At 40.7% G+C, this 20,640-nt stretch overlaps 2 protein-coding genes across 12 annotated transcripts in view, besides 2 other annotated features; one reads left to right on the top strand and one right to left on the bottom strand.

The window, feature by feature from the left end:
- Positions 1 to 14,691, bottom strand: part of GPR137C (G protein-coupled receptor 137C) — an 84,878-nt gene extending 70,187 nt beyond the window's left edge. For all 7 annotated transcript variants that reach the window (NR_148417.2, XR_007064006.1, NM_001353361.2 and 4 more), the window contains exon 1: positions 13,936 to 14,691. Coding sequence is in view for 5 of the 7 variants with exons in the window: in NM_001353361.2 (NP_001340290.1) it covers positions 13,936 to 14,379 (444 nt within the window). In the remaining 2 variants the exon portion in view is untranslated. The remainder of the gene's footprint in view (positions 1 to 13,935) is intronic.
- Positions 14,222 to 14,421: a silencer, noted in NCBI's record as "silent region_5745". NCBI's record gives its function as "represses an Ori minimal core promoter by ATAC-STARR-seq in GM12878 lymphoblastoid cells {active_cell/tissue: GM12878}" and the evidence as "EXISTENCE:reporter gene assay evidence [ECO:0000049][PMID:35858748]".
- Positions 14,432 to 14,501: a silencer, noted in NCBI's record as "silent region_5744". NCBI's record gives its function as "represses an Ori minimal core promoter by ATAC-STARR-seq in GM12878 lymphoblastoid cells {active_cell/tissue: GM12878}" and the evidence as "EXISTENCE:reporter gene assay evidence [ECO:0000049][PMID:35858748]".
- A 330-nt stretch (positions 14,692 to 15,021) lies between the features above and the next one.
- Positions 15,022 to 20,640, top strand: part of TXNDC16 (thioredoxin domain containing 16) — a 121,910-nt gene continuing 116,291 nt past the window's right edge. For all 5 annotated transcript variants that reach the window (XR_007064038.1, XR_007064037.1, NM_001160047.2 and 2 more), the window contains exon 1: positions 15,022 to 15,211. The gene's annotated coding sequence lies outside the window, so the exon portion shown is untranslated. The remainder of the gene's footprint in view (positions 15,212 to 20,640) is intronic.

Raw genomic sequence — 20,640 nt, 5'->3', positions numbered from 1 at the left:
GGTTTAGGACAAATCCATGACCTAAAAGGTGAGAATACCTACAAACCTATCTTAATCATACAGTAAAGAAATAAAGGTATCTCAAATATTACCATAAATTAGAAAAAGTGTTTATCATATTGTCTAAAGTTTATATGTAAGAAAGGTGGCAGAGGAAAATCTTAATTTTAGAGATGCTCTTTTCTTTTTTTCTAAAATAATAATAGCTACCATTTGAGTCTTATTATGTTCTGCTATTTAAAGTATTATTCTATTTAACTTCACAACCCCATGAGGTAGGTACAGATGGAGAAACTATGATACAGAGAAGTTACGCACTTAAGGTCACTTAGCAAGGGTCCAAGGAATGGGACTCCAGTGCCCAAGTTCTTAACTACCTAATACCTCCATATCCAGAGTTCTTTTCTTTTTTTTCAGACGGTGTCTCACTTTGTCACCCAGGCTGGAGTGCAGTGGTGTGATCTTGGCTCACTGCAACCTCCACCTCCCGGGTTCAAGTGAGTCTCCTGCCGCAGCCTCCCAAGTAGTTGAGATTACAGGTACACACCACCATGCTCAGCTAATTTTTTGTATTTTTAGTAGAGTCAGGGTTTTACCATGTTGGCCAGGCTGGTCTCAAACTCCTGACCTCAGATGATCCACCCGCCTCAGCCTCCCAATGTGCTGGGATTACAGGCGTGAGCCACTGCACCTGGCCTGTATCCAGTGTTCTAATGGTATCCCTATAACATCCAGTTTACAAAACCTGGAAAATCTACCATCCATTTAAAAATGTAGGTGCCTTTAACCATGACTGATTCTAGCCTGTTAATTCATGTCTAAAAACGTATGTATAATGCTCCTAGCAGGTAATCATATCACTTTTTCTACTTTGGGCAAAAGGATTTCCTGCTACTGCCAAGTATATATGCTCTATTCTGACTTAAGTTACTGCTGTCAGTCCTGCTGTTTAATGTCCCATTCTTTTCAGAATAGATTTTTTAAAAAAATGCCAATTGGGCACTTAACAGCCTCAGCCCTCACATTGAACTTTCTCTTCCACAAAAGCTCTTGGAGAGAGAAAAAATACAAGGGGCTCCTGACCAATGAAACAACCTAAAATAGGGCTATAAAGGGATAAAAGTTTATATTCTCCTTAGAGTATACACTACACCACCTCAAACCAGCTCAAATGACTGGATCCTACATAGTAGCTGAGGAGAGTACAAATTTTTAAGAAAATATTTAAGCTTTTTTATACTCTGAGAAGACTGAGGCTGGAAAAACAAATTGTAGAGTGTGATTAATATGCTAATGAAAATGGTAGCTGTAATTGAGTTTTTGTAAGAGAAGAGAAGGTACAAATTTGAAATATTATTCTAGAAGGATGATGATCCCTGGGTCCTAAATAAATTTTGATCAGTTTTAACGTGTTATGTATAACTCTGTTTAACTGGCATCTATATCTCAGAGACAGAATTGAGATACTGTATTAGATCACAGAACTAGGTACTAAGGAGTTTAAGCAAAAATTCTCAAATTCTGCATTGCTTTATTAGTATCAGCATACTAGAATTCAAGGTATCTTAGATATCACTGAGACTAACCACTTTACAAATTATACAACTGGCCCAGAAAAATAATGATTTGCAAATATCAATTATTCATATAAAGCAGAATTTGGACTAGAATTCTGGTTCCCAGATTCCTTGTTCAGGGCCATTCATGATGTACTATCTTAAACATACCCCTTTACCAAAGTTAAAATAATAAGATTACAAGGACACTTAATTTTTAGAAGTTTGTCTTTATTTAAAACAAATTAGATGAAATGTTCCATGAAGTTAGATTCTGATTTTGTTTGTGGAGGTGGAAAGAAGAAAATGCTACTTTTAAATTCCCTTACTTTACCACTAATTTACTCCAAGTCATTAAGCACTGACCACATATATAACAGTGCTAGGTGTTGAAGGGTATGCAAAATTTCTTTTGAAATAAATGTAAAATAGTGGCTGATCTAAAGCAATATGTAGTATAGTGGGGCAAAGCAGACATAGATGGCATATCCAAAGATAATATGGTACTTTCTACACATTTGGTCAGACTTAGAACACCGTAATTTTTCCATAAGGTATAAATTACTCAGAGTTCATTTTAACTAACTTTGATGGGTATTAAATATAATTAAAGCTTGGTATATGGAAATTATAAAGACAGGATTATATTTAGTTGTTTTATTCCTATGAGAAGGAGGAGGAAGAGGAGGAGAAGAAAATAGCCCATGGTTTCGGTTTGATCCACAAAAGTTTTGCTTAGCTTATTCGGTATTAGCCTACAGTATTTTTAACATACTTGAAAATCCCGTCATTATTTAAAAAGTAGATTTCTCATTTTAAGAAATTCAAATTTGTGATTTCTCTTGAAAAATCAGATGATTTGACAATGTAATCTCATAGCTGGAACTGAATTAATGTGATTGTCCTCTTTAAACACGTGCTTTCCGATTCACCACAAACACCAACACTCCCCTATTCTCTCTCCGAGGTTGTAGCATTCAGGTCCCTCTAGGCATCTGATTTTGGGACTTTTGTTTTAAAGCAAGCATTTTTTTTTTGAAGGGAGGAGGTAGATAAGTGGGAAAAGAGAAGGAAGAAAAGGGTAGACCAAATTCTGCTGTGAAATTATATATTCAGGGATTCCTCCTCACTATGCTATTTGGGATATGGTGAACAAGAACTTCATTCAATATTTACTGAACACCTAATACACATCAGATGTTAAATTAGGTACCAATACCTAATACAGCAAGAACAGACTTGGTCCTTATTCCTATAGTGCTTACCAATCTAGTAAGCTCACACAAAAAAGTCACACAAATATAAAATTCCAACTGTGCAAATGATATGAAGAAGAGCAGCATAATGCTCCTCTACTAGTCTATAATTTTGGAATCTAACTTGAGTAGTTGAGTGAAGGCTTCCTTGAAGAAGCACTGTGCCCTGGAGTTGAGAGTTAACTAAGCAAAGGAGGAGGAAAGAACATTCTAAGTAGCAGGAAAAGAATATGGAATGGCTCTGTGGCAGAAGGAATATGGCAAGTAGAGGACTAAAATAATGTTTAATGTGGCTGGAATGGTGAGGAATGAGGAGCATAGTTTGAAATTAGGCTGGAACCATGAAGTGACTTGTAGTATACATAGAACTCTCTCTATTCTAATGAGTAACTAGATCCAATGGAGAAATCTAGGAGTGGGGCTTTTTTTTTTTTTTTTTTGAGACGAAGTCTCACTCTGTTGCCCAGGGTGGAGTGCAGTGATGCGATCTCGGCTCACTGCAACCTCTGCCTCCCAGGTTCAAGCAATTCTCCTGCCTCAGCCTCCCGAGTAGCTGAGACTAGAGGTGTGTGCCACCACACCCAGCTAATTTTTGTATTTTTTAGTAGAGATGGGGTTTCACCATATTGGCCAGGCTGGTCTCAAACTGCTGACCTCGTGATCTGCCTGCCTTGGCCTCCCAAAGTGCTGGGATTACGGGTGTGAGCCACCGTGCCTGGTTGGGTGGGGCTTTTATAATAGATTTTTGTTCCAAAAAACTCTGGCAACACTGTGGAGAATGGGCCTGTGGGGGCCAGGGTATACAGACACACCAATTAGAAGGCTAACTGCCATGGACTAGTCAATACATGCTAGTAGCCTGGACCAGGCATTTTGAAGGGAAGAAGTGAATGGACTTAAGAGATGTTAGGAGGTAACAGGATTTGGTGATGCAGTGAATGTGCGTAATGAGGGAGAAAGAATATTGAGAAGGACTCACGTTTCTGAATTATATAGATAATTGGATATAAATACTAGTCACGGAAATGGGGAACAAAAGAGGAGAACCAAGTTGTGTGTGTGTGTGTTTTTGAGTTGGGATCTTGCTCTGTAATCCAGGCTGGAGTACAGTGGCGCAAACATTGCTTACTGCAGCCTCGAACTCCTGGGCTCAAGTGATGCTGCCACCTCAGCCTCCCAAGTTGCTGGGATTACAGGCAGAACTGTGCCTGGTTCAAGAACCAGGTTTTGATGCATATAGGTGTAGGGTGGGAGAGGAGGAAGAAAGATCATGTTGAATCTGAGTGCATCAGATACCATGAAGATGTCAAATCAGTGCAGAATCTACAGAGCCAGCTCAGAGTAGTATGGGTGAGTAAGGATCGGAGATAAGTGTGAGTCATCTGTTTTTAAGTGGCATGATGTCACGAAAGTGGATGTGATCACTTGGAAAGAAGAGGGGATCTAGGTTTAAGTGTTTAGAAATCTCAACCTCTCTGATGGCAAGACAGGCACATGAGCTTACAAAGAAGCTATCAAGGTAACAAAAAAATTAGGAGAATGCTATTCAATGTGCTAGCCAGTGATAAGGGGAAAGATATGGGGGGTCAATTGCTGCTGAGAAGTTAATTTGAATGAGGACTGAAAAATGTCTAATGAACTTATTGACATGAAGGTCACTGTGAGCCATAGGCAACAACTATTTTGTAGACTGATGGGGGGAAGGCAGATTAGAGAAGCTGGAGAAGTGAGAAAATGTTGATATATTCATGGTCACCTCTGAAAGAAGTTTGATTATGAAGAAAGGTATTAGGTAGCTTTTGGCTTTATCAAACCTCTTTGTTTTTTCTATTTTACTACTCTTAAGATTCATCTCCTTTGGATTTATCCTGTTATTTTTCTAACATAAATTAGATGATTAGCTTATTAAATGTTTTCTTCTAATGTAAATATTCCAGGTTGTAAATTTAGTTCTACATGCTAACCTAGCTGCATAATTCAAGTTCTGATATATAGTATTTTTATTATCATATAGTATTCTTAAATGCCATTGGAATTTCTTCCTTTACCCATGTTGTTCATAACTGTTTTAAACATTTCTAAATGAACCTTTAATAGTTGTTTTTTGTTTGCTGTTTTTTAAGAGACAGGGTCTCGATACATTGCCTAGGCCTGGACTCAATCTCCTGGGCTCAAGTGATCCTCCTGCCTCAGCCTCCTGAGTAGCTGAGACTACAGACACGTGCCACCATGCTCAGCTTTACAAGTTATTTTTGTTACTGAATTCTGGCTTGTTTTAGGAGTGTGAGAATGTAGACTATGAAATCCCAGTTATTTAAAATTTAATAATAGCCAACAATCAATAGTACTACCATGTCCCAAACATTTTATATGAAGTATATAATTTTCACAGTAATTCTATGAGGCAGGTATTATTATTCTAATTTTTATAAGAAGGAAAATAGGCACAGAAAAGGTAAGTAATTTACCCAACTAACTTAACCAAGTTACATAGAGCTGATAAATGATGGAGCTGCATGTTGTACATTTCTTCCCTGCTTTGTTTTTTCTATTTTATTACTCTTAAGATTCATCTCCTTTGGATTTATCCTGTTCTTTTTCTAACATAAATTAGATGATTAGCTTTCTAACATAAATTAGATGATGGAGCTGCAGGTTGTACATTTCTTCCCTGCTTCAGCTTTTATTCTTGGAGTAAATTGCAAAGCCCTGAAATTTTTAAAATCAACTTCATTGAAATATAATTTATATACAATACACTGCATGCATTTAAGGTGTACAATTCTGAGTTTTGAGAAAGCTGTACAACCTTTGAAACTATCACAATCAAATACAGAGTATCTCCCCACCCACTAAATTTCACCCTGCCCTCTTTTTGTAAGTCCTCCCTTCTGCTCCAGACCCTAGGAAACTAGTGATCTGCTTTTTGTGACCATAGGTTTGCACTTTCTAAAATTTAATATAAATGAAATGATACAGTGTGAGCTCATCTTTCCCTGGCTTCCTTCATTCAGCATACTGATTTTGAGATTAATCCACGTTGTTGTGTCAGTAGTTTGTTCCTTTGCTTTTACTACTGAGTGGTATTCCTTTGTATTGGTATATTTTGTTCATTCATTCATTTCTGATGAACATCTGGGTTAATTTCAGTGGAGTTTTTGTGAATAAAGCTATTATGTACATCCATGTTCAAGTTTTTATAGGAACATATGCTTTCATTTCTCTTGGGTAAATATCTATAATGGCTAGATTTTTCTCCATAAGTTTTGTTTTGAGACAGGGTCTTGCTATGCTGCCCAGGCTGGTCTTGAGCTGCTGGGCTCAAGTGATCCTCCTGCCTCAGTTTCCTGAGTAGCTGGGACCATAGGCCTGTGCCACCACGCCTGGCTTCTGTAACAGCTAGATTTTATGACAGGCTTATGTTTAACAACTGCTAAACTGTTTTCCAAAGTGGTTGTAAAACTTCACATTCCTATCATCAGTGTAGGAGTTCCAATTAATCCACATTTTGGCCAATAGTTGGTGTGGTTAGTCTTTTAAATTTTAGTCCTGCTAATCAATGTCTAGTGGTAGTTCAACGTGAGTGTAATTTTTGTTTTCCTAATAACTAATAACCTTGAGCATCTCTTCTTGTGTTTCTTGGCTATGCATATATCTTTTTTGTGAAGTATCTGTTCAAATCCTTTGTTCATTTTTACTGGATTTTCTTATTGAGTTATAAGTTCTTTATGTTTTGGATAAACGTACTTTGCCAGATACATGTGCTGCAAATATTTCCTCCCAGTCTGTGGCTTGCCTCTTATTTGTCTTGCAAAAAACAAAAGTTTTAAATTTTGATAAAGTCTCATTTGTCAATTTTGGTTCATGCCTTTTTGTTTACTGCAAAACCTTTGCCTCCTCCAAGAAAACATCTTCTGTCTTCTACAAATTTTAGCTTTTACAGTTAGGTCTATGATCTATGTCAAGTACATTCTATGGTGTGAGGTAACAATCAATGTTCATTTTTCCCATACGAATATTCAATTATTTTGGAATTATTAGTTGACAAAACTTTTCCCCACTAAATTACCTTGGCACTTTTGGGGAAAAAAATCAGTTGACTATATATATGTGGGTCTAATTCTGGATTCTCTATCCTGCTCCACTGATCTATATGTCTATCTTTTCCCCAGCATTACACTCTCTTGATTACTGTAGCTTTACAGTTACTCTTCAAGTAGTGCGATCCTTCAACTTCGTCCTTCTTTTACAAAATTGTTTCAGCTACACTAAGTCCCTCGTATGTCCACGCATATTTTAAAACCATCTTGGCAACAGCTACCAAAATATCCTGCAAAAATTTTAATAGGAATTGCATTGAATTTATAGGTCAAATTAAGGGAGAAATAACACCTTAAAAGCAATGAGCTTTTCAGGGTATATTTTTCCACTCACTGAGGCCTCTTTAATTTCTCTCAATAATGTTTTGTAGTTTTCCTTGTAGAGGTCTTGCACATCTTTTATTTATTCCTAAATATTTTAATTTTTTGACACTATTGCATGTAGAATTGTTGTTTTTGAAACAGGGTCTTGTTCTGTCGCCCAAGCTGGAGTGCAGTGGTGCAACCTTGGCTCACTGCAGCCTCTATCTCCTGGACTCAAGTGATCCTCCCACCTCAGCCTCCCAAGTAGCTGGAATTACAGGCACATGCCACTGCACCTGGCTAATTTTTTATTTTTTTGTAGAGATGAGGTCTATGTTGCCCAGGCTGGTCATGAACTGCTGAGCTAAAGCGATCCTCCCAACTCGGCCTCCCAAAGCGCTGAGATTAAAGGCGTGAGCTACCATGCCCTGCCAAGTGGAATTTTTATATTTCATTTTTCTAATTGTTTTCTGCTAGTATATAAAAAGTTATATCCTATAAGCTTAAATATTACTTCCTGTAGCTATCTGTAGATTAGGATTTTTGACCTAAGAAATTGTGTCACCTACAAATAGAGACAATTTTACTTCTGTTTTTCTAATTTTCGAACCTTTTTCTTTCCCTTGCCTATTGCAATGGCTAAGACTTCCAGCACAATGTTGTGAAGTACTTTGTTCTTCTCCTAGGTAATATGCTGCCAATATTTAAGTATAATATCAGCTATAGGCTTTTTGAAGATGCTTTTTATTAGACTGAAAAAATTCCCCCTTTTCCCTCATTTACTAAAAGTTAATTTTAAAAAATCATCTATGGTTGAATTTTGTCAAATTCTTCTTTCTGCATCTATTGAGATGATCATATGATTTTCTGCTTTACACTACACATATGGCTTTTATCACATTGATTTTGAAGGTTTTTTGTTTTTGTTTTTGAGATGGAGTCTTGCTCTGTCGCCAGGCTAGAGTGCAGTGGTGTGATCTCGGTTCACTGCAACTTCCACCTCCCAGGTTCAAATGATTCTCCTGCCTTCTCTCTCTCTTCCCGGGTAGCTGGAACTACAGGCGCGTGCCACCATGCTGGGCTAATTTTTTATATTTTTAGTAGAGACGGGGTTTCACCATGTTAGCCAGGAGGGTCTCGATCTCCTGACCTTGTATCTGCCTGCCTTGGCCTCCCAAAGTGCTGGGATTAGAGGCGTGAGCCACTGCACCAGGTCAGTGTTTTCAAGTGTACTTTAAATATGTTTTCACAAAGCCCACCTTGGATTTGTTGGGCTTTCTGGATCTGAAACTTGGATGTCTTTAATAAATTTGCGTAAACTCTTATTTTCCCTTTGAATAATTTCTCTATAATTCCAATTACACATATGTTGGACCTGCTCATTATATCCTCATTCTCTCTTCACCCATTGGTTGTATCTTCCATCTTTTATTTCTCTGGGCTATATCCCGAGTGATTTTTTTTCCTAAGATCTTCTAGTTCACTTATTTCTTTTTAACTGTGTTTAATCTGTTTAACCATCCATTTCAGTTTTTAATTTTTTCATTAAAAAATGATTTCCAAATGTGCCAATTTTTTGTATTTCAACAGTGTTTAATTCATAAATGATTAATTATTGTGTACTATGTATTTAATAATTCTGACATCTGCAATTCCCCAGTGTGATTTTTTATTCTGAACCCATGTTTTTTGGAATTTTATCTGTCAGAAGTCTGGGTTTAAAGTACATTCTTCCACAGATGCTTTGCATCTGCTTCTTACAGCTCCTTGAGGTTAGTATCAAGCAAGGATAACTTTATGTTTTCAAGTTAGATCTCCTGAAACCCCCCAGTCTGCTCCTCTCAATCACAGAACTGATGTGAATTTAGGCTTCAAACTTGTGCAAGAATGAGCTTATTTTGCATTCCCAGGGAAGACTTATTTACCAATTTGTACCCCCTATCTAGCTCTGAGGACCTGCTTATTTTCCTAGCTGATCCACTGAAGGTGTACACTTAAAGGATTCTGGCATTATGCTGGAGGGGATGAAGTCTTTTATAAGACCTCACTGCAAGGCACAGCCTGCAACGACACCTCCCTACACCTTCAACACACAAAATTAAAATCTGGGCAGTAGGCTAACAGGAGGCAGCTGAAAACCACTCCTGCCCTACCCCCAAGACACACATTTGTGTGATATTTTATCATTCTGCATTTTTTTTTTTTTTTGGTAGTTTCTGGCCTTTTCTTGCCAGCCCAATTATGCACTGAAAAAGACTGACTACTCTCTGCAGCATTTCTCTGAATCTCTGGTAGGCCAGATGACCTGGCTTCTACTTCTTTAAACCAAGAGTCATATGCAGTGGATGAAAGGTGAAGAAAGAGTTTGCTAGACAGTGGAAAAGGTTTGAAACCATGTGAAAAACGGGAAAGCAAGTTAGAAAAGCACTATTAAAGAAGTGATGTATCCAGGAAAGTTCATGGTATAGAAACAAATTACTTGATAAGACTTCATAGCACCTGAGCTATACAATAGTATCACAACTGATACATATTAGCCATTTAATTTTGGACAAATCACATCTCTTTCTATTTCATGGGGGTTGTGAAGACAAATGTTACAAAGTGCTTTGAAAATACCAATTTCATAAAATATAAGGCATTATAATCATGTCTTTTGTTACAGGTATGTATCTGAAACTTCGGCTTCACAGATGATTTCAGGAGAAATAAGATCAAGATAGTGAAAAAATTTAGTAGATTCAGACAAAAACAGTTTATAGTCAGTTATGGATAAAAGTCAAACATTGAACTAAACCAGTATTTCTGGTAAACAGTAACTGACTCAGGATATGAGACTCATCTTACAGACTTTTCTATTTTGTAGAATTTGTTGAAACTAAATTAGCAAAGCCTTAATTAGTATGGGCCATTTGCCATGATATAAAAAGTTTCATTAAACAAAACTCTATATTGTATGAAATCTTTTAGGCAGAAAATAGATTCCAGACAATACATAATTTACCTCAAATGTTCATCAAAATAAAGTTAACCCCCATATTTTAGATAACTATTTTCTAAATTTTGACCTTTTTATAAAGTGTCATTCAATAATATAATCATCATTGTTCTAGTTGCTGGAGATAAAAATATGTAAAATATTCCTTCTTATCCTCAAGGAATTTCTATTTTAGGTGGTAGAAATGTGATTTCAACTTTTGTGGGAAATCAAAGAACAGAACAAAATCAAATGAACCTGTAAGTTGACTTGCATGTTATTTGAAGTATTACCAATATAAGAATATATCTACTGGTAGGGACAATAATAGCATCCATAAATGTAAGAGTTAAGATTTTGAATTTAATTTTCCTATCTGTTTTGGCATTGTAATTAAGTCACTGTACTTTATCCTGATTAAGCAACTGGCACTCCTAAGACCAAACTGAAAGTAAGAACTTCAATATGTTGAAGATGAACTCATTGATTTTGGCATGCATCACAACACTCCAAGATGGTATACCATCAACTCTCATTAAAAAAAAAAATTTAGATTCAGGAGGTTCATGTGCAGGTTTCTTACATGGATATATTGTGTGATGCTGTCAATTCTCCTTTTAAGTCCTTCAATATGTTCTAATGGTAGATAGAATCAGTTTTATCAGATAGTCTGTTTCAAATATTGAAGTCTTCTCCGGTAAAACTCCAGGAGTGTGAACCCTTCTCTGGAAAAGCTCTTGTCCTACTGATCCTGCCAGAAGTTCAAAATGTGTTTTTAGATTAGTGTACAAGGTGGCTTTTCTTTTTTTTTTCCCCCTCTCTCTCAACTATAGGCTTCCAGGAGGTTAAGTATGAGACACTGAGAAGCTTAACTGTTTAAGAAAGGGCTACTTTCCCTCATCTCAATTCCATTCAAGTGTAGACACCAAGAAAAAAAAAAAAAGAAAAAAGGGGTTGAGGCATTTCTTAACTTTTCAAAAACATGAGTTTTAGAATATCCACCAAAATGTATTCAAAGTAGTAGAGTTTGTTTTACTTTTTATACTGATCCACGATTCTTTATAACTAAGTCCTTAAAGCTACTCTTAGTGAGAATCAGAAAAAAACAAATGCTTTAAACAAGTGAAAAGTAATATGGAATTGGTATTTAATACGGCATACAGCAAAGACAGAGTGAGTTGGTAATCAAGACACACGACTATTCAAAAAAGTTATAGGGGCTTTTGGTTAAAAAAATTAAACATCAGTTAAGTCTTATATTTATCACCACATAGGCTTTCCCTACCACTTTGCTATAATATGAAGAACTCACTAGGAAAAACTTCATTAATTCAGAATGATCAATGGGAAGTATACTTGCAGTTATCTGGAACTGACATAAAAATTTGAACTAAAATACTCTCTTAAATACAGGTTCCTGGAGATTTTCTCTAATGAAAAGAGAAATGATTTCTGGTTAAGATATCTCCTTTCAAACAGGCTTTCAAAAAATTGACAATTTGTTCTCTTAAGTACAACTGTGTCCTAAAATTGTTAATTTCATTATAAAAAGAAAGGATAGACAAACAACTCACACTCTTTTTAGCAGGCATTACAAAGGAAAAAAGCTTTATCCCAGCTTCTTTCCAAATTGTATTTTTCAGGTTAATAGAGTTTTATCGTTTTTAAAAAAGCATATTACACAAACATTTAACAGGAAGACTTTCAGATTTTAAATTCTTCCTCACTAGCTTGGAATATTAGCTCAAAGTCTGAAGACCCAATCTAGATACTCCGTGTATTCTATGCTATATAAGCATACCTTCAGAATTTTGAGCTTAAATATATCTCCTTTTTTGGATAGTGTTTACCCACTTTGTGCTTACCTGGGGGAGCTACTGACTGGGAGAGGGTAAAAAGGGAAACTTCTGGGACACGGAAAATGCTTTATATCTTAATCTGGGTGGTGGTAACATGGGTGTATACAGATATAAAATTTCATCTAGGTGTGCATTTAAGATTGTGGACTTTATTGTATATGTTATACCTCAAGAAGTAAAAAGAGTGTTTACCCACTTTATGAAATGCCTACCAACTATTTTACAGTGAATCATTCATATTATTTTGTAAATCAAAATATATAGGGAAAAAACAAGTCATCTGATGCCCCTGGCATAAAAATCGCTAGTCACTTTCAGGTAAACATCTGAACCTGGAGTAAAAGCTTCAGCGTTGAGAAGTCACTAACGCACTATCTGAAATGGTGGCAGGAAGATTACAATGTATCAGTTTAAGTATAAAGGGTAGAAGTGTTATAACAGCTTAAACGACAACTAGATTAGAACACCCTCAAATAAGTGACACGACTATGGCATCATTTGATTTGTGATAACCTATGCTTCTTATTTCCGCTTACTGGTTTGCGTTTTTGTCATTGTATTGTTTGGACTTTCAAAGGATGGAGAAGGAAAATAATAAAAGTTAAATTAGTTTTGTTGTTTTCAACTATTGTTTTTAGTGTGCTAAATAGCTGACATTATGACTGATTATAAAATTATGCATTCTACTTCCTATTAAAGGAGAAAAGAGTTGGTTTATGCAGGAAATATAAACACTTAATATACGTCATTTTTTTTTTTTTTACTTTTGCTTGGAACTACATTAATTCCATCACCTCCAAAAAAGCCTTTGAGAGGATTAGCTGCATAGGCCAATATTATTCTATATTAGTCTGTATTAAGCATATGATGTCACCTTGCTTCCTCCCCTCCTCAAGCTTTTCTTTTGGTGGGAAGGAGGACTTTTTTGGGGGAAAGTCTTAAAATATTATGGCTTAAATACCACAAGCTGACACACATGATTGACAACCTTACACTCCCAAACCTGTTTGAAATGGGTCAAATACCTAAGCGCTGCAGAACAATGCAATCCAACCAGCAATTCCCCATAAAAGAGAAAGGGGGTGTGATTAGGTTCCAGATATTAAGCAAGTTATTGCAAAAACAGTTTGGTGGTTTTGTTTCTGCAATAGGCACAGGTTAAGCTAGTATTTTTTTCTCTTAATTAGCTCCAAAAAAGACTATGCTAATAGGAGGTAGGATAAACCGCTAAAGCACGAAGCAACTGGGGCAAACATTAAGGGCTTTATGGAGGTCCTTATCCTGATCCTCAGCATTGGTTATTGATCATCAACCCTGCTGGGGAACTATCGAACGAAATTTATGTGAGGCTTATCGAGCCACAGGAAAGGAGATGCAGGAGGGAATATAAGCTTCTAATAAAAGAAACGCAGCAACAATAGCAGAGGAACAGCTCTGCCTGGTGACGTAATGGCTGGCAGCAGTCCAGCTTCAGCAGAGCTGCTGCTACCTCAGCATCCAACCTCCCTCAACACAGTCCGGCTTCGGCAGAGCCACCGGGGCTGCTACTTCTTGCGATGCCACTTTGTTGGTGCCACCAACGCCTTACCTCGGAGGGCCAGAACACCGAACAAAGGGTTCGTTCCGTTGCTGTTTTAAGTTGTCAGACACACACACTCACTCACTCACCCCCTAGCCCGAACCCCTCAGTAATCAAGCCAATCAGCCACTTAAGTTTAAGGCGAAAACACTGGCTCACACTCCAGGTGTGCCTCAGTTTCCCCAGGCTGGTTTCCAGTCCGCCTCTCGCTGCCCACCCCCCGCCCCCGCTGGTCCTCAGCGGGAGTTGATCCCGGCGGCCCCGCGCACCCGCCCGGGCCCCGCATGCCGGCCCTCCCGCCTTACCTCCGCCAGGTAGAGGTTGAGGAGACAGAGCGTGGAGAACTGGAGACAGGAGGGGAAGCAGTAGAGCAGCCAGTGGGGGAAGAAGTGCAGGTGAGCGGGCGGCCGGAGCAAGGGCAGGGAGCCGCTGAGCGAGAAGGCGGCGGAGAAGAGGGTGGTCCTGAGCGCTGCCCACAGGAGACAGAGGAAGAGGCAGAGGCTCTGGTAACTCAGCCGCCGCTCGCGGTACAGGAGCAGCCGCCACAGCTGCAGGTAGGCAAAGGCGAACAGCGCGGCGTAGAGCAGGGCGTGCAGGACGCTCAGCGCCAACTGCACGGAGCCCGGCACCGCGGCGCCTGAGGCTGCAGCGACGGCGCCTCCGCCTCCGCTGCCCCCGCCGGGCGTGGAGGGCTCGCGGCCGGCTGCGGGGGCGGCAGCGGCCGCCGGACCCGGCACGGACACCCTCATGAGGGGGCTGGGGGCCGGGCGAGCGAGCGCGGGAAGGAAGGGGCTGGACTCGGAGCCGCCGTCGAAGGGGAGAAGGACTGCCCCCTTACCCCCCACCCACCCCAGCCTCTAACCCCAGGAAGCGCCGTGACGGGACCCGGAGTCCAGCGCAAAGCAGCCGCGGCTCCCCCGGACCCCGCCTCCTCTTTCCCCCCACCCCCCGGGGGTCTCGGCTCCTCCTGCTGCGGCTCGGCTCCGTAGCTGCAAAAAACAACTCTCGGCTGGAGACAATCAGCTGAGAAACCCGAGCATTTGAGGCGCTCGCTCCGCACTGTGGGCTCGCGCCGATTGGCCCAGGCAGGCACGCCCCCTGAGCGCCGCGCTCGGAAGGCCACGGGCCGCAGGACCCGTCGCTCGAGGGCCCCGAGATCTGATTGGGCGCGTAATTTCCCTACTTTCTCCCGCCCCTGTACTTCCCACCCACGCTGCTGATTGGCCCTGCTACTGCACCGCCCGTTCGCGCCGGCGGGAGGACTCTGTAATCGTCTGTCACTCTCGCTCCGCCCACCACGTTTCCCATTGGTTAGAGAGTGCCTCGCGTAGGGAGCACGAGGAGAAGGAGGAGCTTCGCAGGTTGTTTTTTCCCAGGAGGCCGACTCCGCCGAGTCGGTGGCGGCTGCAGGCTGGGAGGGAGAAGTGCTACGCCTTTGCAGGTTGGCGAAGTGGTTCCAGGCTACCCGGCTAGTCTGGCACGGCCCCGTCTTCTGCCTCCTCCTCCGTCGCGTGGCGGCGGGAACTGTTGGCCGCGCGGCCTCGGGAACGGCCCAGGTCCCCGCCCGCAGGTCCCGGGCAGGTAGGTGACAGCGCTGGCCCTTCAGGCTGTGGGCTCTGCCTGCAGACCCGGGGATTCAGACGAAGCAGCTTTCTGTAGCCAGGGCTGCACTGCACAGCTCCGGAGTCTGACTTAAGACACCCGTCTCTGGGGCACCGAAGGGCCTCACCTGGAGCCTCCTGAGGGCATTTTGCTTTCTCTTTTCGCTGCATGAACGGCGGGAAACACCGGAGCCCTTTGTGGGTCGAGGGGATGGAAAGGGGCGACGGGGAGAATCGGAGCTCTTAAGTGAAAGACCCTTTCCTCCCAAGGCCAAGGGAAATGTCTCTTAAGGAAGAGTAGTAGTAGTATCAGATGGATGTTGAAGCGATCTGTGAGCAGGGGGAAGCTGGTTCTTTCAAACGTAGAATTTGGGAAGATGCTCTGGGCTTAAGTTTTGGGAAAAAGGCAGAAACAGACTTGTAAGTATGATGATTGCCTGGAGAGGAAGTAGAATATTCTGTACTGTTTAAATTCCACATGTATCGAAGCCTTGGACCTGTGTATGGTAGATGGTGGCGCTATTCCTGGGCCTGAGAGAGAAAATACATGCTGTGTTACTGCTGTGAAGAACCGAGGAATAATCAGATCGACTAACGTATATTGGGCCGGCACATAGTTGTTGACTTTTTTTTTTCCTATTTGGAAATAAGATTAGCAAGTAGTGCAAAATTAAAAGGAAATAATTTGTTTTCTTTAGAATACACAGCACATTACGAATTCAGTATCCTTGTGAAAGACATTGCTACGTTTATTGGAGCAACAAAGACCCAGCTTTTCTTACCTCACCATCCTTTGTCCTATGCTTTTTTTTTTTTTTTTCCTTTTTTTCATGCAGGGTCTCGCTCTGTCGCCCAGGCTGTAGTGACAGTTCACTACAAACCTCCACCTCCTGGGCACAAGCAGTCCTCCCACCTCAGCCTCCCAAGTAGCTGGGACTACAGGCACTGGAGCCACCATGCCCGGCTGATTTTTTTTTTTTTTTTGGTAGAGACGAGGTTTCACTATATTGTCCAGGCTGGCCTTTGTCATATGCTTTGCCCAAGAAGAGTGTTGCTGTCTTTTTTCCTAGCTAAGTATTCCACAGGGAACTTTAAAGTCTATTTTGTAGATTCTGGGACAGTCGTTTGTCCAGGTACCAGATGCTAGTGTGGTTTGAGTTCTTTATAGGTATGCTGACAAACTGTGGTAGATGTACAGGCCTAGCACTGTTACCTAGACATCCCTCAGATGAAACGTTCAGCTGAGCAGGTAGAGAGTGCAGTGTATGAGAGGGTACGGCTTGCTCTAAGAAGTTAACAGGCCTAATCCAACATCTATGCTTTGGAGAAGGATTTTATGTTTATTGGAACCTAAGAAGTTCATCTCATGTATTTTTAGAGAATGTGGTCAGGGCGGTACACAATTCTCTTCAAATAGGAGACAGGATGCTCATGACAGCAGTGATGTAATTGATTGCAGTAATGTGCTTAAGTATTTAAATTGAGCATAAAATCAGAGTTGTGTGATTTTAGGCACTTGTCAAAATCAAGGGCGCCACATATTCTCTGCCATGGCCTATTTGCATCTTCCATAATCATTGAGGTGCACATTTCAAGTCATCAATAGACTTTAAAAGGTTTTTCTTTTTCTCCTCTATTCTCTGCTCAAAGTGATAGTAAACATCTGGATAGTACCCATACTAATTTTAGGTCTTGGCCTGTGAGGCTTACCTGCCACCTGCCATGTGTCAGTAAGAGCAAGTCTGGATAGCTGCCTCCTTTCTCTTTTTTGGGGGATGGGAGTGTGTGTTTAGAGGTGGGCGGTGAGGGTGCAGGTAGAGGATTTTCCTCCCAACTGCTTTGAAAAGGCTCTAAAGGGGAGAGATGTTGACTCCTTTTATTGCCTCCTTGGGTCTGAAATGATAAACTGTGTTGAGATCTGATCAACATTTTATTTGAGGCTGGTTCAGTGAGCAGGTTCTGTTCTCCAGTAGCAGCATTAAACTGTAAGTAAGCTGACTTCAGACAGAATGTTCTTATGGGAACTTTGTAAGCGTTATATACTCCATTTGTTGCAAAATATGAAGTGTGTCTTTTTCCTGAGTATGATGGCCACAGATGTTGCTACAATTTATTTAATAGTTACAGTTGTTAATTTCCTTCTTTTCTGAGAGGAAAAGCCATTAATTTTATGGTTAATCATAAGGGAATATTAGGCCTATAAAGGGGGAACTAACCAAGGGTTTCCTAGAAAAGCTTGGTGTCAGCTATTCTAAAATTTAAATGTGTCCAAATGCATAAAGATTTAATATTGTTGTTCTGAGAGGACAGATGACCCTAGCACAGTAGTCTTTCAAACATTTAAAAGCAGAACTGTTTGGGTCGGGCATGGTGGCTCACGCCTGTAATCCCAGCACTTTGGGAAGCCAAGGTGGGCAGATCACGAGGTCAGGAGATCAAGACCATCTTGGCTAACACAGTGAAACCCCGTCTCTACTAAAAATACAAAACATTAGCCAGGTGTGGTGGCGGGCGCCTGTAGTCCTAGCTACTTGGGAGGCTGAGACAGGAGAATGGCATGAACCGGGGAGGCAGAACTTGCAGTCAGTGGAGATTGCACCACTGCATTCCAGCCTGGGTGACAGAGACTCTGTTCAGACTCTGTCTCAAAAAAAAAAAAAAAAAAATCAGAACTGTTTGTCAATTACTATTGCATACAGTACCCTATACCAAAATGGGATTAGTGGAGCTAACGAGGGCTACCAGCTGTTCTACCTGCCTAAGGAACACAAAGGCAAATCCTCATACTGTCTCCTTACAAGAAGACTAGCGTTTTCTCTTGAAGTACTTCCTCCTTGATGTCTTTTGGAGCTTAATATTCAGTTGCTGAACAAAACACACTTTTGTCGCCTTTAACATTTTATGTGCACGCTTTAGCCCTTTTTCTACTATTGTCTCACGGAGCCATTCTTACAGTGCTGTTACCCTCTTGTATTAGTCTTTAGTTACATGTCACTCATTCTTTCTATTATTTAAATGAGCTGTGCAAACACACTTCTTCAGAGTTTAGGGATGAGACAAAAGTTACATCTTATATGTCAACTCTGATCCATGCCAGCAGGACCATTATACTGAAGAATTGAGGGCCTCTCGCAGCCCAAAGGATCAAAGTCTACATGTAGTTGGGAGGTGTATCTGTAGTATTGGCAAACATGCTATGGAAAACATTTACCTATTACTTTTCCCGTCTTTTAGTATTGGCATCTTTTGTGGTAATAGTCAATTGCATTTTAAAGAGTCATCTTATGTTCAAGTCATAATCCCTTTACCCGTTACTAAGACCAGGTGTACTAATAGTGCTAGACTGGGTTATACTGTGGAAACAACCCGGAAACATTAGAAGTTTAAAATAATGGTTTATTTTATTTTTTTCTGAGACGGAGTTTTGCTCTTGTTGCCCAGGCTGGAGTGCAATGGTGTGATCTCGGCTCACTGCAACCTCTGCCTCTTGGGTTAAAGTGATTCTCCTGCCTCAGCCTCCTGAGTAGCTGGGATTACAGGTACCTGCCACTATGCCCAGCTAATTTTTTGTATTTTTGGTAGAGACAGGTTTCATCATGTTGGCCAGGCTGGTCTCGAACTCCTGACCTCAGGTGATCCACCCGTCTCGGCCTCCCAAAGTGCTGGGATTACAGGTGTGAGCCACCGTGCCTGGCCTAATAGTGTTGGAGGCAGAAAGAATGAGGGTTGTGACCAACTCGGTATACCACTGGAGGCTATATGAGCAAACAGCAAACTGTTCTCATGAAGGCAGGTTGTTGGCGAATTGACAAACTGCGTCTGCCTCCCAGAAGGAATGCTAAGGCCAGTCACACCCCAGGCGCAGTGTTTCTTGTGATTATCTACAGGAACATCTGAAGCCTGTTAGCAATCATGTGAACCTGTGATAAATCAAGCAGCTGACCAACCATTACCTGCTCCTCCCTGCTCTTGCTACCCAATAAATATGAAGGGTTGTGGAAGCTCAAGGCCCTTGCTCACTAGAAGCAAGGAGCCCCCGACCCCTTCTTTAAAACAGATTATTTTGTCTTTGTTTTCATTTCTACATTCGTTCTGCCTTCGTTCAGTCCCATAGTAACCGTCACATAATAGTTTAGTTTACACTGGATCAGTTGGGAGCTTTCCCCTATGGTGTTCTCTTTCTGGGACTTGGGCTGACAGACAAGGCCTAATTTTGAGTGTAATCAGTCATCATGGCAGAGGGAAAGTGTGTTGTGGTTCATTGCACATGTATACTGACTCTTAAAAGCTTCCAGAAGTACATGTCACCTTGCACATTTCATTGGCCAAGTCATGGCCATACCTAACTCAAGGAAGTGAGATGTATAATTTTAACGTGCAGAGAACTAGAAACATTTGAACAGTCTCTCGTCAACAAATGCTTTCCTTTGTATATGTAGTTCTTCCTTGGCTTTTCCTGGTGGAGGTAATTCAAAATTACCATCTTCACTATGTGAAGCCTAAAGTTGAGGATCTCTGAGTAATGCCCAGCAGTGGTCATCTCTTTACTGGTCTAGATAGAAGTTATCTGTCTGCCACCCCCTGTTGAACACATAAGGCAGTGCTGGGAGAGATAACTGTAAGTATTCCTGTTTGGAGAGAGGAAGAATGGAAAACACACACCAGACTCTAGATTGTAGCAATCTACGGTTGAAATCTCTCTAGGCAGTTGTTGCTAGGGCTCTAGTTCTGTTCCCTGAGTTCTCTAGGCCAGTTGAAACAACAACAACACTCCTAACACAATAGAAATGAATTACAGGAAAAGTGAAATAAAGAACATCAATTTACAAGCCCAATTTTAAAATTATTATTAGATTCAACAAATATAAAATTACTGTGTGAAATTGCTATAAAATGTTCTAAACATTTACATTCCATTTCTGTATTTATGTCATTATTTTAGACAAGTAACAAATACTTTTTACTCTGCACATGCCCTACAGCATAGTTCTCCGTGGTCCTTGGCTTTGCCCTGTGTGAGGTTCTTCCATTTTTGTTACTCTTGGCCACATCTGAAATTGGCTTTGGAGCATATGGCCTCTGACCTCTTTCTGTGGCTGAGCAGTTTTGTCAGTTTGCTTTGTGACCATGCACGGGTGGGGGCCTAAGGATTGTTTTAAGTTTTGAACATCTAGTCTTTTGGATGGCAGTTCTTCTCTGGGTATTTTTCTTTTAATACCTTGTTAAACACCACCAACAGCAACCATCACACAGTACTAATCTATCTTCCAGCCTCTTCTTTTAGAGCTATAAATAAGTTCATTAGCCACGGGAACATAGGTACACATTCATTATAAGTTAATCAGGTACATGTCACCTCCAAATTATTGTAGTGACAGTTTTATCAAACTTATTAATGTGGGTCACTTG

Source organism: Homo sapiens, chromosome 14 (genome assembly GCF_000001405.40).
Source record: "Homo sapiens chromosome 14, GRCh38.p14 Primary Assembly".
Lineage (NCBI taxonomy): Eukaryota > Metazoa > Chordata > Mammalia > Primates > Hominidae > Homo > Homo sapiens.
Note: the sequence above shows the minus strand (reverse complement) of the source record. Positions and strands in the feature narration are given on the sequence as shown.